Raw genomic sequence first — 21,328 nt, 5'->3', positions numbered from 1 at the left:
AATTTTGTATTCTGTTATGCACTGAAATGTGTACCTCCAAATACATATATTGAAGCCCTAACCCCAAGTACCTCAGATGTGACTGTATTTGGACATACGGTCTTAAAAGAGGTAACTAAGTTAAAATGAGGTTACTAGGGTGGGTCCTAATCCAATCTGACTGGTGCCTTTGCAAGAAGAGATTAGTATATACATCTACTATGTATCCACAAAAATTAAAATAGCATAAAATAAAGAAACGTTAGGATGCAGACACACACAAAGGAATGGCCACGTGAGGACACAGGGACAAGACAGCCACCTGCAATCCCAGAAGAGAGGTTCAGAAGAAACTAACCCTGCCAACACCAGGAGCTCAGACTCCCAGGCTCTAGAGTCTCTGCTGCTTCTATAATGTCTGTTGTTTAAGCCATGCAGCCTGTGGTACTTTGTTTCGGCAGCCAGGGCCATTTGTCTATTCTTTTTTTCAAAGGTCGCCAAAAATGTAAAAACACCAAGCACCACAGAGCGTGATCCACCTCAACGTGCTGTAAACACATGATTGGCTCACACGCCAATGTCGGGCCAGAGCTGATCAGAAACTGAGGTGTGGGAAGACAGTGGGAGAGAGATGCATTTTACTGCAGAGTGAGAACGAGATATTCATATGGGAAAGGGAGAACAGTTCCTGAAACAAAGGGCTGGTCCTCAGTTTGACTCAGTTTCCCTCAGGGCGGACCTGTTCTCGAGTCCTGTGCCATGCACATCCCCCACTCAGCTTCCGGTTCATTTAGTCACATGTGCCAGACACCCCGTGCGCAGGTGCCCAGCACCCATCCCTACTCCACCAGTGTGAGTTCTCTTTCCCTAGGTCTCTGAAAGGAAGGGACAAGCCGAGCTGGGAAAGGGCTCCCATCAAAGTGACAACCGCAGAAAATCAGAGCATTTTCTGGAAGCCTTTCTAAAATTCCCAGCTCACAGAGCAAAGGCTACCAAGGTTCTGAGTTAGGAAAATTACAGGCTGTTTAGCTTCCCAAGTTATTTTATAATCACTGAATGGAGAGAGAAGCAGACAGTAGCATCTACCTGAGAACTGTAAAAGGGAAAACAGAGGGCAGAGATTAAAAACATGTATGATTTATCTCTCAGAAGGAAAAATAGATCTTCAAGTATGACAGTTAGCATTTGGGTGGCATAGTGTGCAAAACACTTTCACCTTCTCTGTCTCATGTAATGGTCAAAATGACCAGACAAATCAATGACCTTATCATTATCCCCTTTTACTAGATAAGGAAACAGAGCCCCAAGTCTGCACAAAGAGTAACATCATTGAATTCTGGTCCTTTGAATCCAAACTCTTTTGTCATCATAGCATACATTTATATATAGCCCCTCCTACGTGTGCCTGTGAAATACTTTGTGCTTACTATTTTTAATGAGAAAAACCATAAAATGATTTTTTTAGTCAAAAACACATCAGGGATCTCTGTTTCCTAATATTCAGACTCGGGCTGACCCCTTAGGCCACTTGCACTTGGCTTTGGAGTCCTCCCAGGTGAGTGGAGCCCTCCTCTTCCTCTCCTCTGTGCCTCACACCCTACAGTACCTGGCACACCAAAGGTGTCCTCAAAGTTTGCTAGGCCCTGATCTCCCTGCCTGTGGTTTCTCAGATCCAGACCCATCCTTGGCTTCGATTCCTGCCCTCAGCCCCCCACCCAACTACACTGCTCCCAGAATTCCATCCTTCCACCTAGGACTTCCTGCCCCTCCATCCTCAACAAGCAGCCGGGGATGAGAGCCCTGCTGCCTCTGATCCGACCACTGCAGGTGACACCCTCTCCTGACTCACCCCTGCAGCCTTCCACCCACCTGACCTGGACCCTTCTCCTTTTACAGGCCCTGGTGGCTCCTGCTTCTGTCATGACGAAGCTGACCACCCACCTCTGGTTCTCCCAGGCAGGCCCTAGCCCTCCCTAATAATGAGAATAAAAATAACTGGCATTTACTGAGTCCTTACTATGAAACAGATATGCAATGGACTGAGTGTTTATGTCCTCCCCAAATTAATATGCTGAAATCCTAACCCCAAGATGGTGGTATTAAGAGGCAGGATACCTGGGGGCCATTAGGTCATGAGAGTGGGATCCTCATGAATAGGATTGGTACCCTTGTTAAAGGGACCCCAGAGGGCTGTCCCGCCCTCTCTCCACCATGTGAGGACATCATGAGAAGACAGCTGTCTGCAGGCTGGAAGAGGACACTCACCAGAACCTGACCCTGCTGGCACCCTGATCTTGGACTTCCAGCCTGCAGAACTCTGAGAAATAAGTTTCTGTTCTTTATAAGCTGCCCAGTCTATGGTACTTTGTCACAGCAGCCCAAACAGACTAAAACACAGATATTACAAAAAGTGCTTCCTATCCATCATCTCATTCAATCCCTACCAAATCTATGATCTTGTAAATGGTATATATATATACGTAAATGGTATATATATAGACACATACATACATATTTTAGTTAATACTTTTAATTACATGATTGTAATTATAAAATTTCCACTATTTTATATTTTGTATAAAACCAGTTTCAACTCACATGATTTTCAAATGTGACAATATGTATCAAACTACACATATATGAAACGTTTATAGGCCATTAGGAAGCTTTATCTTAAAAATACCTTCAGGAAAATAAACATTCATTCAACCAGTTCTCTTGGCTTTAAAACATATGATTAGAAAAGTACACTATAAAAAAATCAGGACAATGATTGGTCAATACTGATAGTTACATTTTAAAATGGTATATATTTTAACCCCTGGGTTAGGTACTATAAGCTGCATTTCATGAAGGAGTAAACTGAGGCATAGGGAAGGGAAAGGGTGTGGCTCAGGGACAGGTAGCCAGGAACAGAAACAGACCCCTGATGTGCCCTGCTATTTGCACAGCCTCACATCTACAGATGCAGAAACAAAGCCAAGGTTTGTAATGGTGTGACGAAAACCACACACATCACCCTGAGCAGAACCAGGGCTCTCATCCCAGGCTATCTGTCCCCAGGATGGGACTCTGCCCTCCATGTTCTGCTGTCTCCCTACGTGGAGAGGGTTTGGGGCAAGGTTATGGCTCTCAGGTATGACCAGGATAAATTGAGTCTGGGGCTGTGCTTAGATCATTCAGCTCAGCTGATATTTTAAGAGGCAGGGTAGAGTCAGGGAGCTGGGCCAGCCATTGGGGTTTGTTCAAGGAGAAGTCACATGACATGGTTCAAGAAGGAAGGAGGAAACTGATAGGGCCTGAGCTGGGGAAAGGGGAGAGGAGAACTGGGCAGCCCAGACATGAGTAGGGACCAGGTACAGGTGCTGCTGATGAGTTTCTCCAACGCAAACATGTTGCTTTGGGTTCACTGGCTCAATTAGACATAGAGTGACCCTCCCTGAGCCTTATTTTAAAGGACCCACAGAGGGCCAAGATCGCCTTTGACCTAAGTACCTGGGGTAACCTAAGGATCCAAAAGATCTCACCCATAAGTATTGAGACGTCATCTAAACCCACTTAATAAACCACAGACCATCTGAATGGCGAATTTGGCTTTTATAGCCTCCCCTGCATCTCTGCCCAAAGCGAACCTGGAAATGGCACTATAAGGGCCTGTAGAAGAGGAATGCTAGAGTCCATCAGCCCAGCTTGGCTCTGAAGGAAGGTCTGGCCTGCACTTGCACACCTGGACCAAATAATTATGAATCATACCTTTATTCCCAAATAGAAGACCTGAAACCCCACCAAGGTCTGCTTTGGGGTTTGTTTTGATGGAGTAACATAGCCACACCCCAGGGGCTTGGCTCACTCATTCGTGGAGACAAGTCTTGGAAAATGTTTTATGTTTGCAAATCTTTGAGTTCGATGAGCTGTGACGATGTTTGCCCAACACAGCCGGTCCTGTGTGCCCGGGCTTTGGGTATTGCTCACACACCAGTGGCATTTCAGCACACGCTACACCCGTAAATATAGATAGCATCTGCCCCGAAGTGTTCAAGGGCTTTGTTATGGTTGTTATCATGGAGGGTTGTGGTTTTCTTTTATTTTATAAAACCCACAAAATGATTGTTATGCTTTTGTAACAACAACAATACAATGTTGTTAAAAAATTTTGAGCTGGGATTCAGATGGCCCGGGTACAAGACCCAGCTCTGAATTTACTCTCTTTGTAACTAGGAATAAATCAACAAACTGCTGTGAGTCTCAGTTTTCTCATCTGTAAAATGGGGATGACAATATTCATTTCCTGGATTGAGTGTATGCCCTTCCTGTTTCCCATGGATAAGGCCCCAAATCAAAGCTTTCATGAAAGTATGTGAATTGCAAATCACTGTATAAGTGGAACCTATGCCATTTTTTCTCAATTTTAAACTCAATGAGATATGCTGCACTAGGTCAGGTGACACATGCCTGAAAGTTAAAGCCACATAGATAATTGGATATGTCAGAGGAAAGTCTCTAATCTGTAAGTTTATCTATAAGGCTGTAAGAACCAGCTATTGACTCCTTTTTATGCACCACATATGACTAGCCATTGAGAATGCAGCACTAAGTAGCATGCTTTCCCTGGAGTGAAATCCACAGTCCAAACTTTAGTGAATAACTAGAACCTAAAAGTGTTAAGAGCTGTCATAAAGAAATGGTGTCAACCCTATGAGGAATGAAAGAAAAGGCCCTCCTAGAGGAGGGGACAACTGTGCTGGATGCTGAAAAGGGAGGAGAAACTTGCTAATAAAGCCAACAAGTCAGTATACACAAGACAAAGAAAATGGCCCAGGCGTCGCAGAGGAGTATGCTGAGAAAGACGTGGGCTTCCTTCCACAGTGCTGGGTTGGTGGGGAAAGGGGAGCTGCAATGATGTACGAGGGGCAGCCCAGCTTTCCTGACACACCCAGCCACCTCACTTGGTAGGAAGGTGGGAGATTTCAAGGAGAGGTGATGAGGGGTGAGAAGGGGCCAAAGACTGGGTGTGACAAGGGGCTGCTGAAGAGACACGTGGTCAGGAAAGGCTTCACCCACTCAGCAGTGAAGAGAAGAGGTGATGCCACCTCCACCTTTGCTATGCCCCTTTTATCTTAAAGTCTTGATGCATGGCAAGGCACCAAGCTGCTCAGAAGCAAATGAAAAGAAAGAAGCAAACTGAGAACTGCCCAAACGTGAGCTTCAGCTTTGTAGGAGGTGGGCTCCAGGAAGCACGTGACTGACTCTGCAGTTGGTGCTCCCAAGGTGACATCATGTAAAGGAAAGTTCAAGTTTCATTGTTGCAGAGTAATTTTATCGCTCCCTTTTTGCATCCTAATTGGTGGCTTTTGAGCCATCTTCTCTGAGCTCTCATCTTCTCCAGCTGCAGAGTAAACCAAGGCACGAGAATGGGCAGCTTGGGCACATTCGCTGGGCCTCGTTCCCTCTGGTGGATAAAGTGCCTTCTCCTTAAACCAGAACCATCTGTGAAAAATGACTGGGAGGCACAAAAAGTGCTGGAACCACAAAATTCCAGCTTCGGTTTTGGCTTTCTGGCAACAAAAGAATAAAAACACAGTTCTTATTTCTCCAAATATTTCCTTCTCCACTGTCTGCTCCGGCCTGATTTCAGTCCCCGACGAGGCAGCACTGATGCCTCCGTGGCCCACTCCCTCTGCTGCCTTTGGAGATATTGCTGGAATGCACATTAAGGTCATGATATTGGCTAGGAATAAAATGAGTTTTTCAAAAAGGACAAACTTCATAAATCCTGGCTTGTTCCTACACAGGTGTATAGAAGAAACAGAAGAAATGTGTTTTTCTGTGTTTCTGTCTTGCCAAGACCCAAAAATGAAAACCAATTTTTGTCCATAGAAGGTGTCTGTTAAAGGACTTGAAGTGAGTCCAGACAAAGGCAGGTTGTGAGCTATTAAAGTGTCTTGCCCAATATCTGCCAATAATGGCCATCAAGGCTCCTCACACAGCATCTGCCCACGTTATTATAATCGGGCTGCCTGTGCGTCACCTGATGAAGACCGCAGCTTGGGACGACTGGATGGGGTGGGACCAAGATATTTACAGAGATGAGAGAGGGATGTTGGAAAATTCACTCTCCTCCACACCACAAGAAGGTTTAAAGATCCAAACCAAACCAGAGCTCGTTCAAGTGTTAGGAGATGTAAAATAATGTGGTTTGGGGTGCACAAACGTTTTTAGCTATAAATACCTTCTAGATTGTTCCAATGCATTGAGCCAAAACCTAAATGCTGTGAGGTTTCAACCAACCGAATGGTTCCTTAAATAAACACCATGCAAGGACAAAAACTACCAAAGTGAATTTGAAAGAGCAGAGACTGACTCTAAATGGATGACCTGAGTGAGGACGGTGTGTCCAGGCCTTCCATAGCAAGTGTTAGCTGGGGGCCTTCGGCAGGCTGGGCCCTGGTCAAACTCATTCAGCTCCACACCTGTGTTCACCCTTCCACCAGGAATCCCATGAGAAGGACACTGGTGCCCTGCACTGTAAAAAGGAAAAACCCCAAACTCCAAAAAGTTTAAGAAAATCAGCTCCCAACTGGAAGTTGCTTCGGTCTGACTCCAAAGCCTACCATCCTCCACATGGGACCCACTGCCCCCATTCCATGGGTGTGTTCCTCCATTGGTGTTACCTCTTCAGGGCAAAGACACTGTCCCCTTTACCTAACGCTTCTCAGTGCCAAGTGGCATCTGGGATATTGGACATTGTCTGAGTTTCCTGGGGCTACCATAGCAAATCACCATAGACCTGATGGCAATACACAGCAGACATTTATTCTCTCTCAGTCCTGGAAGTTAGAAGCCTAAAACCCAGGTGTCTTAGGCTTGGTTACTACTGCGGGCTTTGAGGGAGAATCCACGTCCTGCCTCTCTCCTGGCTTCTGGGGATTTACCACAAGTCCCTGATGCTCCTTAGCTCATGGACACGTCACTCCCACCTCTCCCTCCATCTTCACGTGATGTCCTCTCTGAGTCTGGGTTTATGTCTTTCCTCTTCTTCTTAGAGGGGCAGCGGTCATATGGAATTAGGGCTCATCCTGATTTCATATGACATCATCTTAATTTCATTATACTTGCAAAGACCCAATTTCTAAATCAGGTCACATTCACAGGCACCTGGGGCTAGGACTCCAGCATACTTTTGTTGGGACAGAAGTCAACCCGTAATAGAGATAATAAATTCATATTTCTTGAATGAATCAAAAACCAAAAAGATCCTGCAGTGGACGCAGTGCTCTGGGAGCCTCTCTGAGCACATCAGGTCCCTGAACATTGCTGCTCTATCTTCCTCCCATGGCCTGAAGAAACCAGTCAGGCTGCCAAAACTCGCACCATTCTGAGACCTCCTGTGTCTTGACGGAATAAGAGAAATCTTTTCACCTATAAGGCATCACACCCCATTCCCTTTCCCCCTAAAAAAACGAGGACACTTTTACAATGCCACAATGGAGGCAGAAGCTTCCAGAAAGAAAGCATCACACCCATTCCCTTTCCCCCTAAAAAAGCCAGGACACTTTTACAATGCCACAATGGAGGCAGAAGCTTTCAGAAAGAGTAAATACATGAATCTAAGAGCCACTTTTTGACCTATGACTCAGAGTACAGAAAGAATGCTTGGTATCCTGAAAAAAATTCACTCAGCAGGAGTAAACACTAAACCTCATCAATTTTTTAAAGGTAGCAATTACTTGTATAATACCTATCAACCAATGACATTAAAAAGAAAGTAGTGGAAGCTTAGACTTCCACTACTCTGGCTATAAAATCTTTTTTGTTTTGTTTTTTAATAACTGATTTTTCAAGAATGTTATACTTATAAACACATATACATTTTATGTCCTACCTCCAAGATAGCTCCAAATGAGAATGTTACTAGCCAAGAAGCTAACATCAACAAAAATGCATAAAAACTGGTTAATAAAGCCCACATTAAGGGAACAGTAGAAAGTAGCTAAGAAAATGTAAATTCATTCAGGAAATAAGCATTTGCATGTACTGTTAAATATAATTTCCACCAGGTGCATGAAGCACATGAGTAATTATAGGCCAAGAAAAAAAAAAGTGATAACCTTTTCTCCGCATGGACGCCACCTCCTTTGGTTATGAGGCAGTGCTTTGAAGAGTTAAATGCCCTCTGCAAATGCCAGGGGGTGGTGTTGCTGTTGCCTAAACTGTTCCTCCTCACAGCCTGGGCTGCATACAAAGCAATTGCATAGGAGATATCTTACCCTCCCTTTTCTTTCATCTCTGTGGAAATACATGTTTCATTTAAGCCTGTGGTGCTTGGAACTTGTTCCAAGGAACCCCACGTTCTAACAGCAAAATCAAAGAATGCTTGTCTTTTCCCAGCTTGCAGGGAGAACAATAAGTAAACGAGTAGAAATTTCTCACTGTTATGTGTTATTCTATAATTTTTTGTTAAGTGTTATTCTATAATTTTTTCCTAAGTGTTTGGAACTCACTGTCTCTAGCCTACTAGGAAGTCCTGGAGATGACCAAGCAAGCCAGCATCACACCACCCCAGGGTCCCCACAGTGCCACGTGCAGGCTACCCCTCACTGCCTGCCAGGAGGGGTAATGCCAGCTTGCATTTGGTTATCAGTACCCCCACCCCACTCTGAGGGCGATGACAGCAGGGCCCCTCTGGGCACTAGTGCGTGTCCCAGGTCTTGGCACCTGTGTGCTGGCAGTGAATGTTTGCTGTAAGAATGAGCAGATAAAAATGCAAATAAAAACCACAATGAGATATCACCTTGCACTCATGTGAATGGTCACTATCAGAAAACGCACACACACACACAGACACATACATAAAATAACCATTGGCAAGGATGTGGAGAAGCTGGGACTCTTGTGCATTGCTGGTAGGAGAGTTAAACGGTGCAGCCATTGTGGAAAGCAGTATGGCGGTTCCTCAAAAGATTAAATACAGAATTTCCACATGATCCAGAAATTCCACTTCTGGGCATATTTCCAAAAGAACTGAAAGCAGGGTCTCACACAGACACTTATGCATTCATATGCACGGCGGAATTATTCACGATAGCCAACAGGTGGAAGCAACCCAAGTGTTCATCGGTGGATCAACAGAGAAACAAAATGTGCCACATACATCAGTGGAATATTATTCAGTCTCCAAAGGGAAAGAAATTCTGACACACCACAATACAGATGAACCTTGAGGACATTATCTTAAGTGGAGTAAACCAGTCCCAGAAGGACAAATATGGCATGATTGCACTTACGTGAGGTACCTAGAGCCGCCAAATTCATAGACACGAAGAGCAGAATGGTGGTTGCCAGGAGTCGGAGTGAAGAATGAGGAACTATTATTAAATGGGGACAGGGTATCAGTCTGGGATGATGAAAAGACTTGTGGAGATGGATGATGATGGTTGCACAACAATGTAAATGTACCTAATGCCGCTGAGCGGCACACTTAAAAATGGTTAAGTTGTAAATTTTATGTTAGGAATAGTTTACCAAAATTATTTAAAAAGAAGCAGATGATGAATGTCAACATTGAATGCATTGTCTCATAAGCACATGGCTTCTAGCAGCCCCATCACCTAACAAGCTTTAGAAATTTGACTGCAGTTAGTAAACTACAACTGGTAGGTATTTTAAGAATGTTAATTTAAAAAAACAACTATAACTTGTTTTTAATACAGAGATCTAGAAAGCCGGAAAATTTTGGCTTATCATCCCACCACTCAAATAATCCCAAGTGATCTTTTTTTTTTTTTTTTTTTTTTTTTTTGAGATGGAGTCTCGCTCTGTCACCCAGGCTGGAGTGCAGTGGCACGAGCTTGGCTCACTGCAAGCTCCGCCTCCCAGGTTCACACCATTCTCCTTCCTCAGCCTCCCAAGTAGCTGGGACTACAGGCGCCTGCCACCACACCCAGCTAATTTTTTGTATTTTTAATAGAGACGGGGTTTCACCACGTTAGCCAGGATGGTCTCGATCTCCTGACCTCGCGATCCACCCGCCTTGGCCTCCCAAAGTTCTGGGATTACAGGCGTGAGCTACCGCTCCTGGCCCCAGTTGACCCTATTTTTTAAGGTTAAAAATAATACCCTGCACTGGATGAGGCTGCTCAGTGGTGTGCAATGTTATAAAATGAAAAGTACATACATCTTTCCATTCTTGGTCCCTCCCCCAAACAATAATCACTATCATCAGATACTTAATGCATCCTTTTAAGAACAGCAACAATACACACTATGCTTAGACTTAATGTTATGCTGACACATACGAATGCATTTATAATTTTTAATTTTCACTTGGCATGTTTACCTTTACATTGTGTTTTTACACATTTTATTTTATATTTACATTTTTAAAATGTGTGTATGATGAGATTTCACTTCATGGTCTGTGTTTCTGAAACACATGATGTTGTGGAAGTTCTGATTTGTGGGGGGGAGATTATACAATTTGGTCCATATGATGTCCAAATTTACAGTATTTTAAATCTTCCCCTGAAAATATTTTTAGAGATTTTTCCATATTAAGATACATGAAGCTACCTGATGACTGTTTAATATTCCTGATTAAACATTTAGACTGCTTCCAAGCTTGTTTTCCTTTTGTTTTTTTTTTCTTCATTCTAGCAAGTATTCATAGCAATGAAATTTGTAGATCAAAATATGAGCAATTTGTATTTTAACAAACATTGGCAAATTACAATCCATAATAGTAGCAACAACTTGCACCCCCATAATTTGTGAGAATAGATGTTCTCCACCCCATCAGCCAGTCACTAGCAGCACTTCCCATGAGCCAGTGTTTTAATGTTTACCTTCCTAAGGAAAAAACACGGTGATTCATAATTTTTATTTGCATCGCGTTAACTAAGAGATATATTGAACACCTTTTAAATGTACTTGTTCATATTTCTTTATTGGGTTTTCTATTAATTTATAAATGTCTTATTGGTGGGCTTTTTAAAGATGAAGAAAATTAGCCTTTCATTTGTCGTATTTGTTGCAGATCCATTCCCCAGATTTGTTTGTCTTCCTTTGTTTGAACTCTTCTGTGCCAAACAGAAATGCAAAATTTGTATATAGTCATATGTGTATATCTTTTCTTTTATAGCTTCTGGGTTTTCTATGCTGCCTAGAAAGACTTTCCCTTCTCCAAGTTTAAAAATAAATACACTGAAACTTTTAGACAGGCTCTCTTTGATCTGTTTATACAAGGGTGAGCCAGCGGTATTGCCTTCAATGGGATAAATATAAGATCATGAATGGGAATGTTAAGGCCAGCTATTAAAATGGAAGGGAATAATACTTATATCAATTGATTTTCAACAAGCATGACAAGATAATTCAACGGAGGCAAAAACTGTATTTTCAACAAATGGCATTGGGACAACTGGATGTTTTACAAAATTGTTGTTTTAAAACAATATGTGGCCAGGCATGGTGGCTCACACCTGTAATCCCAGCACTTTGGAAGGCCGAGGTGGATGGATCACGAGATCTGGAGATCGAGACCATCCTGGCTAACACGGTGAAACCCCGTCTCTACTAAATATACAAAAAATTAGCCAGGCATGGTGGCAAGCACCTGTAGTCCCAGCTACTTGGGAGAATCGTTTGAACCCCGGAGGCAGAGGTTGCAGTGAGCCGAGATCATGCCACTGCACTCCAGCCTGGAAAACAGAGGGAGACTCCATCTCAAACAAACAAACAAACAATATGTAAAACATGAAGTTGGACCACTACTTCACAGGTATAAAAAATCAACTCAAAATGGATCATATACCTAAATATAAACGCTAAGATTATTAAACTTATAGAAGAAAATATAAGAGTAACTCTTTGTGGCTTTGGGTTAGGCAATGGTTTCAATCCATATATGACACCAGGAGCACAAGTGATAAAGGGAAAAAAATAGATAAATTGGAGTTCACAAAAATTCAAAACTTTGGGGTTTCAAAGAACATCATCATAAAGTGAACATATAACCCATAGAATGGGAAAAATTACTTGCAAATCACATTAATAAGGGATTTGGTTCCTGAATATCCATATATATGTGTGTGTGTGTGTGTGTGTGTGTGTGTGTGTGTGTGTGTGTATGTATGTGTGTGTGTGTATATACATATATATATACAATCTCATAGAATGCAACAAAAAGACAACCCAATTTTTTAAAGGGCAAAGGATTTAAATAGACATCTGTTTAAAGAAGATACATAAATGACCAATAAGCACATGAAAAAACGCTCATCATCCTTAGCCAATAGAAAAATTCAAATAAAAAATACAATGATATACACTTTACACCCACTAAAATGATGAAAATAAAGAAGACGGACAAAATACCAGTTCCCAAAAGTATTGTAAAGCAAAATGAAAAATAACACGTTTTGGCAAAGATGTAGAGAAATGGGAACACTCATTTCATTGCTGGGTGGATTGTAAAATGGTAGAGTTACTTTGAAAAATAAGTTTGGCAATTCCTCAAAATATCAGACAGAGTTACCATATGAACCAATAATTCCACTGCTAGGTATATATCCAGGACAAATGAAAACACATGCCCTCCTAAAAATTTGTACATGAATGTTCATAGCAACATTATTCATAATAGTCAAAAGATGGAAAAAACCCAAGGGTCCATCAACAGATGAATATGTAAACAAAACGTGGTATGTCCACACAGTGGACTTTTAAGCAGTATAAAAAGAAATGGAGTACCAATGAGTGCCACAACATGGATGAACCCTGAAAGCATCATGCTACCTAACAGAAACTGGTCACAAGAGACTATATCTTGTATAATTCCATTTATTTGAAATGTTCAGAATAGGCAGTTTCATAGAGTCAGAAAGCAGATTTGTGGTTGCTTAGGGTTAGGTGGGGCCTGGGATAATAGGGAGTGACTCAATGCATATAGGATTTCTTTCCAGGTGATGGAACTGTCTTACAGTGGTCATGATTGCACAAATCTCTAAATATACTAAAAACCTCTAAATTGTATACTTTACAAGGGCGAATTTTTTGGCACATAAATCGTATCTCAATGACGTTGTTATTTACTTCAGCTTTATTTTAAAAAACAAGCGGTGGGCCATAGTTTGGCAACTTCTGTACTAGTCTATAAAAATCTACAAAATGTATTGATAAAAACTGAAAACGCTAGAGCTAATATGTGATAAGAAAGGAAAATGAGTGAGAAGAAGAAGGGAGGTGAAGGTCAGAAACTGCTAGAGAGATAAAAGCTCTGAGAATGACTTAAGGAAAAAAAAATCACCTTTCTCTCTTCCACATATACAGACCTGTAGACAAAATGCTTCATCATCCAGGAAAAAACATCAGGTTTGAAAGGAAGAACCTGGTGAGGTTTGTCCCAGGCATCTGTGCAGTGGACCAGAGAATAAGTCACCACACAGGTGTGGAACTTGGCTCTCACTGTTTCCTAAATGGTGAGGCCTCGGCCAAGTCACTTGGTGACTCTGGACATCTGTTTCCTTCTCTCTAAAAGTGATATCTGTCTTTCCAATATTGAGCTCGCTTAGAAAACACTTGGAAAACCTTGATACATTATAAAATGTAAACATTATTAATAGAAAACTGATATTTCTCTGTTGGTGTGCCATGACATATGGCTTATTTTAATTTTTTCTTAATATGAATTTAAATAAGCCCAGAGCAGAGTAAGATATCAATATTCATCTTCCAAATAAAATTTGATACCACTCAATCTAATAGACAGAAGTTCCAGTTCAAACCATGAAATCCTCAACAGTTTACGCACATTACCTGGGCCACAGTTTTACCACCTGTGAAGTGAAATGGTCTCTTTGGTGCCTCTCAACTCTGCAGGTCGTAGATGTCAAAATGTTGCTTAGATGTCAGATTCAGAATATGCTTGTAATGGCTGCTATAATGAGTAACGCACATGTAAAGCCCTTGTATTTTTAAAAGTGATTCCCAAAAGGAAAAAAGTAAGTTTGATAGGATAGACGTGATCCCTGGAATAATTTAACTAACTCTTTCAGCTTTGCTTATCATGTTCATTATGACCCAATGTTACTGTATTAGTCCGTTCTCACCCTGCTAATAAAAGCATAAGACTGGATAACTTATAAAGGAAAGAGGTTTTGTTTTTGTTTTTTTTTCAGAAGAGGAATTTTACTTTTACCCACTTACGGTAATATTTGCAATATTAGAATATAATTAGGTTAAATAAATCAAATAAGGAATCCGGAAGAAACTGTTCTTGAGTTAAGCCAAGTACACACTGGCAATTTTGAGAGAGGAGAACTCTACACATTAACAAAGAGAACACACAAGCTCAAAGGCAAGTTTATATGGTGAGTGTTTTTAAAGGATTTAAAAAGCATGCTCCATCAGCATAATAGCTTTTTCTCATTTATGTAACATACGCATTTCTGTCTGCTGGGGTACAGCAAAGGGTTAGAACCTGAGTAAACTTATTTGTGATTTCAGAAACGTGCTATTTTAGAAATGTACTCCATAGAATTTACTTCACTGCTCCTACCACTGATTCTTCAAATAAGCAAAGTACGGAAGCTCTTATCCCTTGAAAATGTTTTTAAACACTAGCACGTTAATTGAAACATTGGTAGAAATGTAGCAATGTCAGGTACAATGCCTATACTTAGTTTTATTTAAAATAAGAATTGAATGCACAACAGAAAATTTACCATTTTCTTTATCATTGGAGGGGAGGGAAGGAAAGCAAGCAGAGGTGGGGGTATGGTTACGCTATTTAAGGAAGAGCTGAATACAAAGACAATGAGTCTTTCATAGTCTCAACAACTCCACAATGAATAACTGTGGATTATCTCATTTATAATTCACATTGGATCAAAAAAATTGGTTCCCTTCTGGATATATCAATTTAATTCAAACCTTATTATCTTCAGAATACAAAGATGAATACTACAAGATAAACTCTAACTGCAATAGGTATTTTCTAAGTAGAAGACCAGACACCAAAGGAAATCCCTCTTTCCAATGTCTTCTGATATGGCAAGATTTTGCCAGAATGGAAGTCTAACACTTAAATAAGCATTCTCATGGCCAAGAAAGTAACTACAGTTGTTGTGGGTATTACCCTACAATTACCATATGTATTACATATTAAATTAAACTCAGCATTAAATATGCCTGTATAATTACGCTGTTAATGATGATAGCAGTGATGATGCTGGTGGAAAAAGCCTGTCTTTAGCCCAAGAAAAGGGAGAAAAATGTAACAAGCAGAAAGCAAACACAGAGTTGGGCAATTTTTGACTAGGAAAGAGAATTTTAAGCATAGAAATATAAAAAGAAAAGTACTCCCTTATTTCCCTTATGTGGAAATAATATGAAATACTTATTAGATATACTGGACAAGAAGAGAACTAAGTACTCCAACTCTACTGCAGCATTACAAAAAAAATCATCCCTTCACCACAGTGTAAGATTTAAGGGCAACCTGCCCAAGGATGCATGTTACATAAAACACAGCAAGATTGCTGCTGCCCTGCCAAGTACTTCCAATCCCTACCCAGGTCCTACTGAAATACAGGTGGTCCCAATTAGTTGTATTGAAATAAATCTTTAAAAAAAAAGATAAAGCATTTAAAAAGACAAGTCCAAATGCATCAGGAACCACATATCCAACACAAACTTTATCCTCAAATGAGTTATGTTTGCCTCGCACTAATGACTTTTATTTCACTCAAATTAGAGCAATAATCTTCCATACATAAGTATCTTCCCTGCCCAATAATTCAAAGAAAAAAATCCAAAATGATTAGTAAAGAAAAATATAAGAATTAACAGACCCTTTAAATTTGTTTTAAATATTTTGAAGGTTTAAAAAGTGAATAAAGTTTGTAATTCCTAGTAGGAAAACATTATCTGAATGAATACCCTAATGGCAAACCACTGTAAAATGCTTCAGCTGCATTTGGGGGAGAGGGGTGGGGATTATCTTCAAAGCACCCCAGCTCTCTTGATGTACATGTCACAGGTACATTGGTTTGTATTATTGCAACATCGATAAGGTGACCTAGGTTGCTTTTCCTTCAGCAAGGGCTTTATTTATCAGAAGGGCATTACACTTGACCTCCAAACTTGGCTGACAATTTACTGATGAGATTCATAACCTTTGGGTTGCTCTGGTATTTTGACATATTTGCTGGGTTCTGAGCCACATCCTGGAAGGCCACCATAACTTCTGGATCCTGTATGGTTGCAAGAACCTCTGGATCACTAAGAATTTCATTGAGTCCAGGCATTCCGGCCATTCCAGGCATTCCTCTGGGAAAATTGCCAGGCATTCCCCCAGGAAAGCCACCTGGAAAAGAGCCATACTGAGCTCCTGACTGCGGTCTGGCTTCTTCCTCCCTCTCATGCTCTTCTCGAGCCTTCTTAACTCATTCTATTCTTGCTTTGATCTCTCACTCTTCACGTTTTTGCTCATACTTTCTCTGATGTTCTGCAATTTTCTGTGCCCTAAGTTGAACTTCTTTCAGCATTACACTAGCATCTTCATCATAATCCAATTTACAGGCAAGGGCAAGATCATGGGCTGCTTCTTCCCAGTGGCCTAGAAGTCTATGTGCTTTCCCTCGCCACTTGTGAGGCTGAGCTGAATCAGGATTTATTTCAATGGCTCTGTCACAGTCTCGGATGGCAGCATTTGGCTTCTGTAATTTGACGAAGACACTGGCCCTCTTGGCATACAAAACAGCCAAGCGAGGATTCAGCTTGATGGCATCTGTGAATAAGTCAATGGCTTTCTGGAGTTCACCATCATTTAGGGCTTCAATAGCAGCCACTTTCTTATCATTTGCCTGATCCATCATCTCCTCCGTTATCTCTGCATTTTCACCTCCCATTTCTTGAGGGGCATCAGTGTCTGGTTCAATCACACCTTCTTTGTCAATTTCTAGATCACTTTCCTCACTTGATGGTTCGTCTGCCTTTAAGTCTTCCTCCACCTTCTTACTATTAGGTTTTTCTTCCTTGGCATTTTCTTCTGATTTAGCTTTCTGAGTAGCAGGTGGTACTTTACCCGCAGGCTCTCCACCCACTCCCTCAGGAAGCACATTTCCTCGGTGTGCAGAACACTCAGATCCTGCTTACACATGTTCACAAAGGCCCGAAGCTCATTCACTTTGCGGGGGTCCATGGTAGGGAGGTGGTGGGTGAAGCTGGGGGGCTGTGGCCTGGTTCCAGGCCCAGGCGCTGGCTCGGCGTGACCGCGCAGAAGGGGAGGAAAGAGTTTTAATTGACTCACAGTACAGCAGGGTTGGGAGGCCTCAGGAAACTTACAATCACAGTGGAAGGGGAAGCAAACATGTTCTTCTTCACATGGTAGCAGCAAGGAGAAGAATGAGCAAAGGGGGCAAAAAGCCCCTTATGAAACCATCAGATCTCATGAGAACTCACTCACTGTCATGAGAACAGCAGCATGGGAGTAACTGCCTCAATTACCTCCCACTGGGTCCCTCCCATGACATGTGGGAATTATGGGAACTACAATTTCAGATGAGATACGGATGGGGGCATGGCCAAATCATATCAGTTACTTTTAAGAATTTTATACATATATACACCAGAAAAGTGAATGGGATTGCAAAACTTACCTCAACACTAAACCAACTTCTAAGTTTGAGTATTGTGTTTTCATGGCCCACTTTGCCCCAACCTCTCATTTTTCTCAAACCTTTTTTTTTTTTTTGGCCCTGCAGCCTCCGATCTCAGATTGTCCCCTACAGGCCACTTAGGTCTGACATTGCTTTGCCTCAGCTTTCTTGTAGTTCTCCTCTTATTTGTCTTCTCAGGGCCATACCTTCAGATTTAGACTTCCTACTCAGCATGGGAAGCATGGACACAGCCTCACTTGCTACGGCACCTTACTATGCTAGGCATTGGCTGCCATACTTGATTGTATTAGCTCCTGTCTTCCTTTCCCTCTTAGCACAGAGTAACTTAGGTGTGTGCACCTATCAGGTAAGGAAAGTAGCAGGCAGAGTCATGGAAGCCAGAACATCAATTGCTGAATTGAGGCTGTACCATGGCCTGTCTCTGTGAATATTGTGGCAAGATATATACCCACCCAAAAAAAGCACTGAAAAACCTTCATAAGGGAGATGTATAGGGTGAGACACACGAAATGCATTCAAAAGGTAGTCTGGACTTGCCAGAGTCTCAAAGTCCTCTTTGAGGGAATTGGGAGAGGAACTAGAAGGAATCGTTGAGAACACACATGTGTTCTGATCTTTGCCCATTTTAGGGTCACCCACTAGTAAACTGTATGGATGTTCACAAAGAGGAGATGTATTTCTTCCATAAAAAAGCGAGAATGCTAAAGTGTCACCAAGTCTTTCCCCTTCTGAATGCTGTCAGCTGCTAGATGTCCTGCTACCAGCAGAGAAAATGCCTAGTGTGTCCACCTCACCAGAGTCCTGGACAGAGCAGGGTTTGCTACCAACTATGTCCCACCTGTGCCGGTCCTGTGGGCAGCAGGAATCAGGCTACCATGGAAATTCTGCTTGTGACCAGCCCTATCAAACTAGAAGCAAATGAGGGCACAGGGCCTTTGATTGTCAGCTGCCCCACAGCTGGGGATCAGTTACCTATGTAGCCCTGCACCAGGTCCTTCAGGAGACCACATTGTACCTACGGTTCATCTTCCCAGCAGCCCTCCATGTCAATTCCCAGAAGGGGCTTGAGCCTTTGTTGCCCATCACTTACCCCAGCACTTCTCCAGCTGTGGGACAGAGTCAAGCCTCGACTTAGTGCAGGCTCCTCAGCCACATCTGACCTCCCCTTCCAGACAGCATTCAGCTCTGCTAAGAAATCAGGCAACCATCAAGCTTGGAGTTTTGCCAGGAGAAATTCAGAGAATTTCTCATACGAGTGAATTATAATGCTGGATAAACCACTCCTCCATCTGAAATATCCAGTCCTGAAGACAGAATTAGCTGATTATCATGATTACTTTCATTTTTTGTTTTTAAATCTTCTTTTCCCAGCTCAGCACCCTGCCCAGTCTCCCTTTGTCTCTAGGGTGGTACTTCAAGTCCCACCACACCCTACGACAGGGTTAATCCACACCCCTTGCACCCTAGAGCCGACAGAAATATCAGTGGTGAATTCTTGACTTGGATCCATAGCTATTATTTAATAAGCAATATCACAGAAAATGAGTCAAAAATCTGATATAATTACTCCTTGAAATTCCCACTGCAGCTGGTGCCAACAAGGTGTCACATTACAATTCAACAATCCAGTCTTTCATGGCTCTCACTGTGTCCCAGCACTGCCCTCCATGCTCTGCAAGTGATACCTCATTTTGTTATTGAAACACTAGGGTTTCGGTCTAGGTTCTGCTGCTCACTGCACAGAAAGCCAATCACTGATAGAACAAGTATTGCCAGGGAAGAAGGCTTTAATCAGGTGCTACAGCTGAGGAGATGGGAGCTTAGTCTCAAATCCATCTCCCTGGCTGACTAAAATTAGGGGTTTATATAGCAGGGAAAAAATGTATCTACATGCATAAAAACAGGAATTAGGGAGGGGTAAGGAAGAGGAGCTGGTCAACAGGTAGCAGGTGGTCGGTTAGGCAGTCATGATAGGCAAGGGGTCTGACTTCTCATTGCCCAGATGCGGTGATCTGGTACATTTCAGTTACTTGATACTATCTGAGTGGCCTGACTGATGGTTTCCTGGGAAAGGAACTCAGATAAGACAAATGTCAGTTTCTCAAGTTTCAAGATGGGGAATGTCAATTTCTATGCTTATTCAAAATAATCTATAAACATCAGTTCTATGGAGCAATTGGGTCAGTTTCAAATTACACCACATGCAATTCTGTTGGGGGAATATGATGAGTATCCCTATATCATGGATGAGGAAACTGAGGCACAAAGGCATTCGATACTTGCTCAAAGTCACACTGCTATGGAGCAGTAAAGCTAGAACATGCCTGGCAGTCTGGTTAAAGAGGCTGTGCCTTTAACCATCATACCACACTGCCCTGTATCCAAAAGACACACCCAACCCCAAGGAAGAAGGGGAGAAGCTTCAGAAAAAAACACTTTAAATGTGAAATGGATTTCCTCAGAGGTACCAATGGGAAAATTACATTTTCAGACACACAGCAAAAATTCTAAAAGAAACTTTATTATCCCCAAATCTTACATACTTTGACAGCTACTCTTCTCTAAAATCTCCCTTCTCTGATTCATTTCTAATTTCTCTCTAAAATCTGTAGACCAACTGGCTCTCCAGGCCCTGTCTTCTCCCATTTCTTTCTTGATACTTTATGGAAAATTTGGACCTGTTTCTTACCATTCGCCTTTTCAGTCATCTTCTTGGTCAACAAAACAAAGCCACCATAAGTATACAAGGTTCTGAGGGGAAAGGCTGTGAAGGCCTCTTTCATACCTTTACATCATAGTCACATTTATGTTAACTGGTTCATTTTAGGTAAGTCAGAACCTAAACACTGCCCATGTGGAATTTCCCCACATCTTTTGAACACACAGGTATGCCCTTGACCTTGGCTGTCACCTCCATGCCAGGAGATGCCAGTGGCTGGCTCTCCCCAGCTCCCACTCCCTCCCAACTCCTCCAAATCCCATCCACAGCCTAAGGCAAGACTGCACCTTTGTCTCTCCCAAGGATACATGGAAAAACAAAATATCTTATTTAAGTTCTGCCTTCAGCTCTGCATTCTGACTTATCTCTTATTGCATCTTCCTATGAAAATCGTAATGGTAGATTATACTGGGAGAATTGACAGTACTGACAGAATCAGTGGAGCCATGGACTTGGATGGGCTGAGTTCTAACAACATCACGATTTTGTACTTAAAACCAAGACTATCAAATCAGCTCTGTGTGGCCCTGTTACCTACCCAAGCCTAACTGCTCTCTGACCTCAGGCTGCACTGCCCCCTACCAGCCATGCCCTTCTCAAATATGGGTGAGGGATGAGCTGGGGAGACCTGCAGCCACGTGGGGATAACTTAGCTGAAATTCAGGGCCATGCACCTGTGGCCCTGATGCGTCAACACCATTGCATTCCAGTAAAGAAACCTGGACTTCAGAATTGAAGTACTTTCCAGAAGTGAGTCTCCTGAAGTTCTTCCTTTATGCCCTGACAACCCCAGAAAGGGCCTTCAGAAGAAAGAGAATGATGTCAAATTAGAAAATGGTCATTCCTGTGACTTACCACCTCCATAGGAGACGGGTCTCAACCTCAAGAGGTGCGTATATCCCCCTGAGGATGAATGGAAATCTGCAAAGAGGCACAGAACATTTGAAGAACT

General features: G+C 42.1%; 1 long non-coding RNA gene, 1 other non-coding gene and 1 pseudogene across 4 annotated transcripts in view, besides 1 other annotated feature; 1 reads left to right on the top strand and 2 right to left on the bottom strand.

Annotated features, from left to right (window-relative positions):
• MIR3681HG (MIR3681 host gene) overlaps nucleotides 1-21,328 on the bottom strand; it is a 571,233-nt gene that overhangs the window by 537,610 nt on the left and 12,295 nt on the right. The gene's annotated exons all lie outside the window — the stretch shown is intronic.
• Nucleotides 6,075-6,124: an enhancer, noted in NCBI's record as "active region_15335". NCBI's record gives its function as "activates an Ori minimal core promoter by ATAC-STARR-seq in GM12878 lymphoblastoid cells {active_cell/tissue: GM12878}" and the evidence as "EXISTENCE:reporter gene assay evidence [ECO:0000049][PMID:35858748]".
• On the top strand, nucleotides 10,367-10,436 carry LOC124906141 (small nucleolar RNA SNORD18). Its single transcript, XR_007088707.1, has one exon. It is a non-coding gene; the product is annotated as a small nucleolar RNA SNORD18 (small nucleolar RNA).
• ST13P1 (ST13, Hsp70 interacting protein pseudogene 1) lies at nucleotides 15,909-17,263 on the bottom strand (annotated as a pseudogene).

The sequence above is a fragment of the Homo sapiens genome, chromosome 2 (genome assembly GCF_000001405.40).
Source record: "Homo sapiens chromosome 2, GRCh38.p14 Primary Assembly".
Classification (NCBI taxonomy): domain Eukaryota; kingdom Metazoa; phylum Chordata; class Mammalia; order Primates; family Hominidae; genus Homo; species Homo sapiens.
This window is presented reverse-complemented; position numbering and strand designations above follow the sequence as displayed.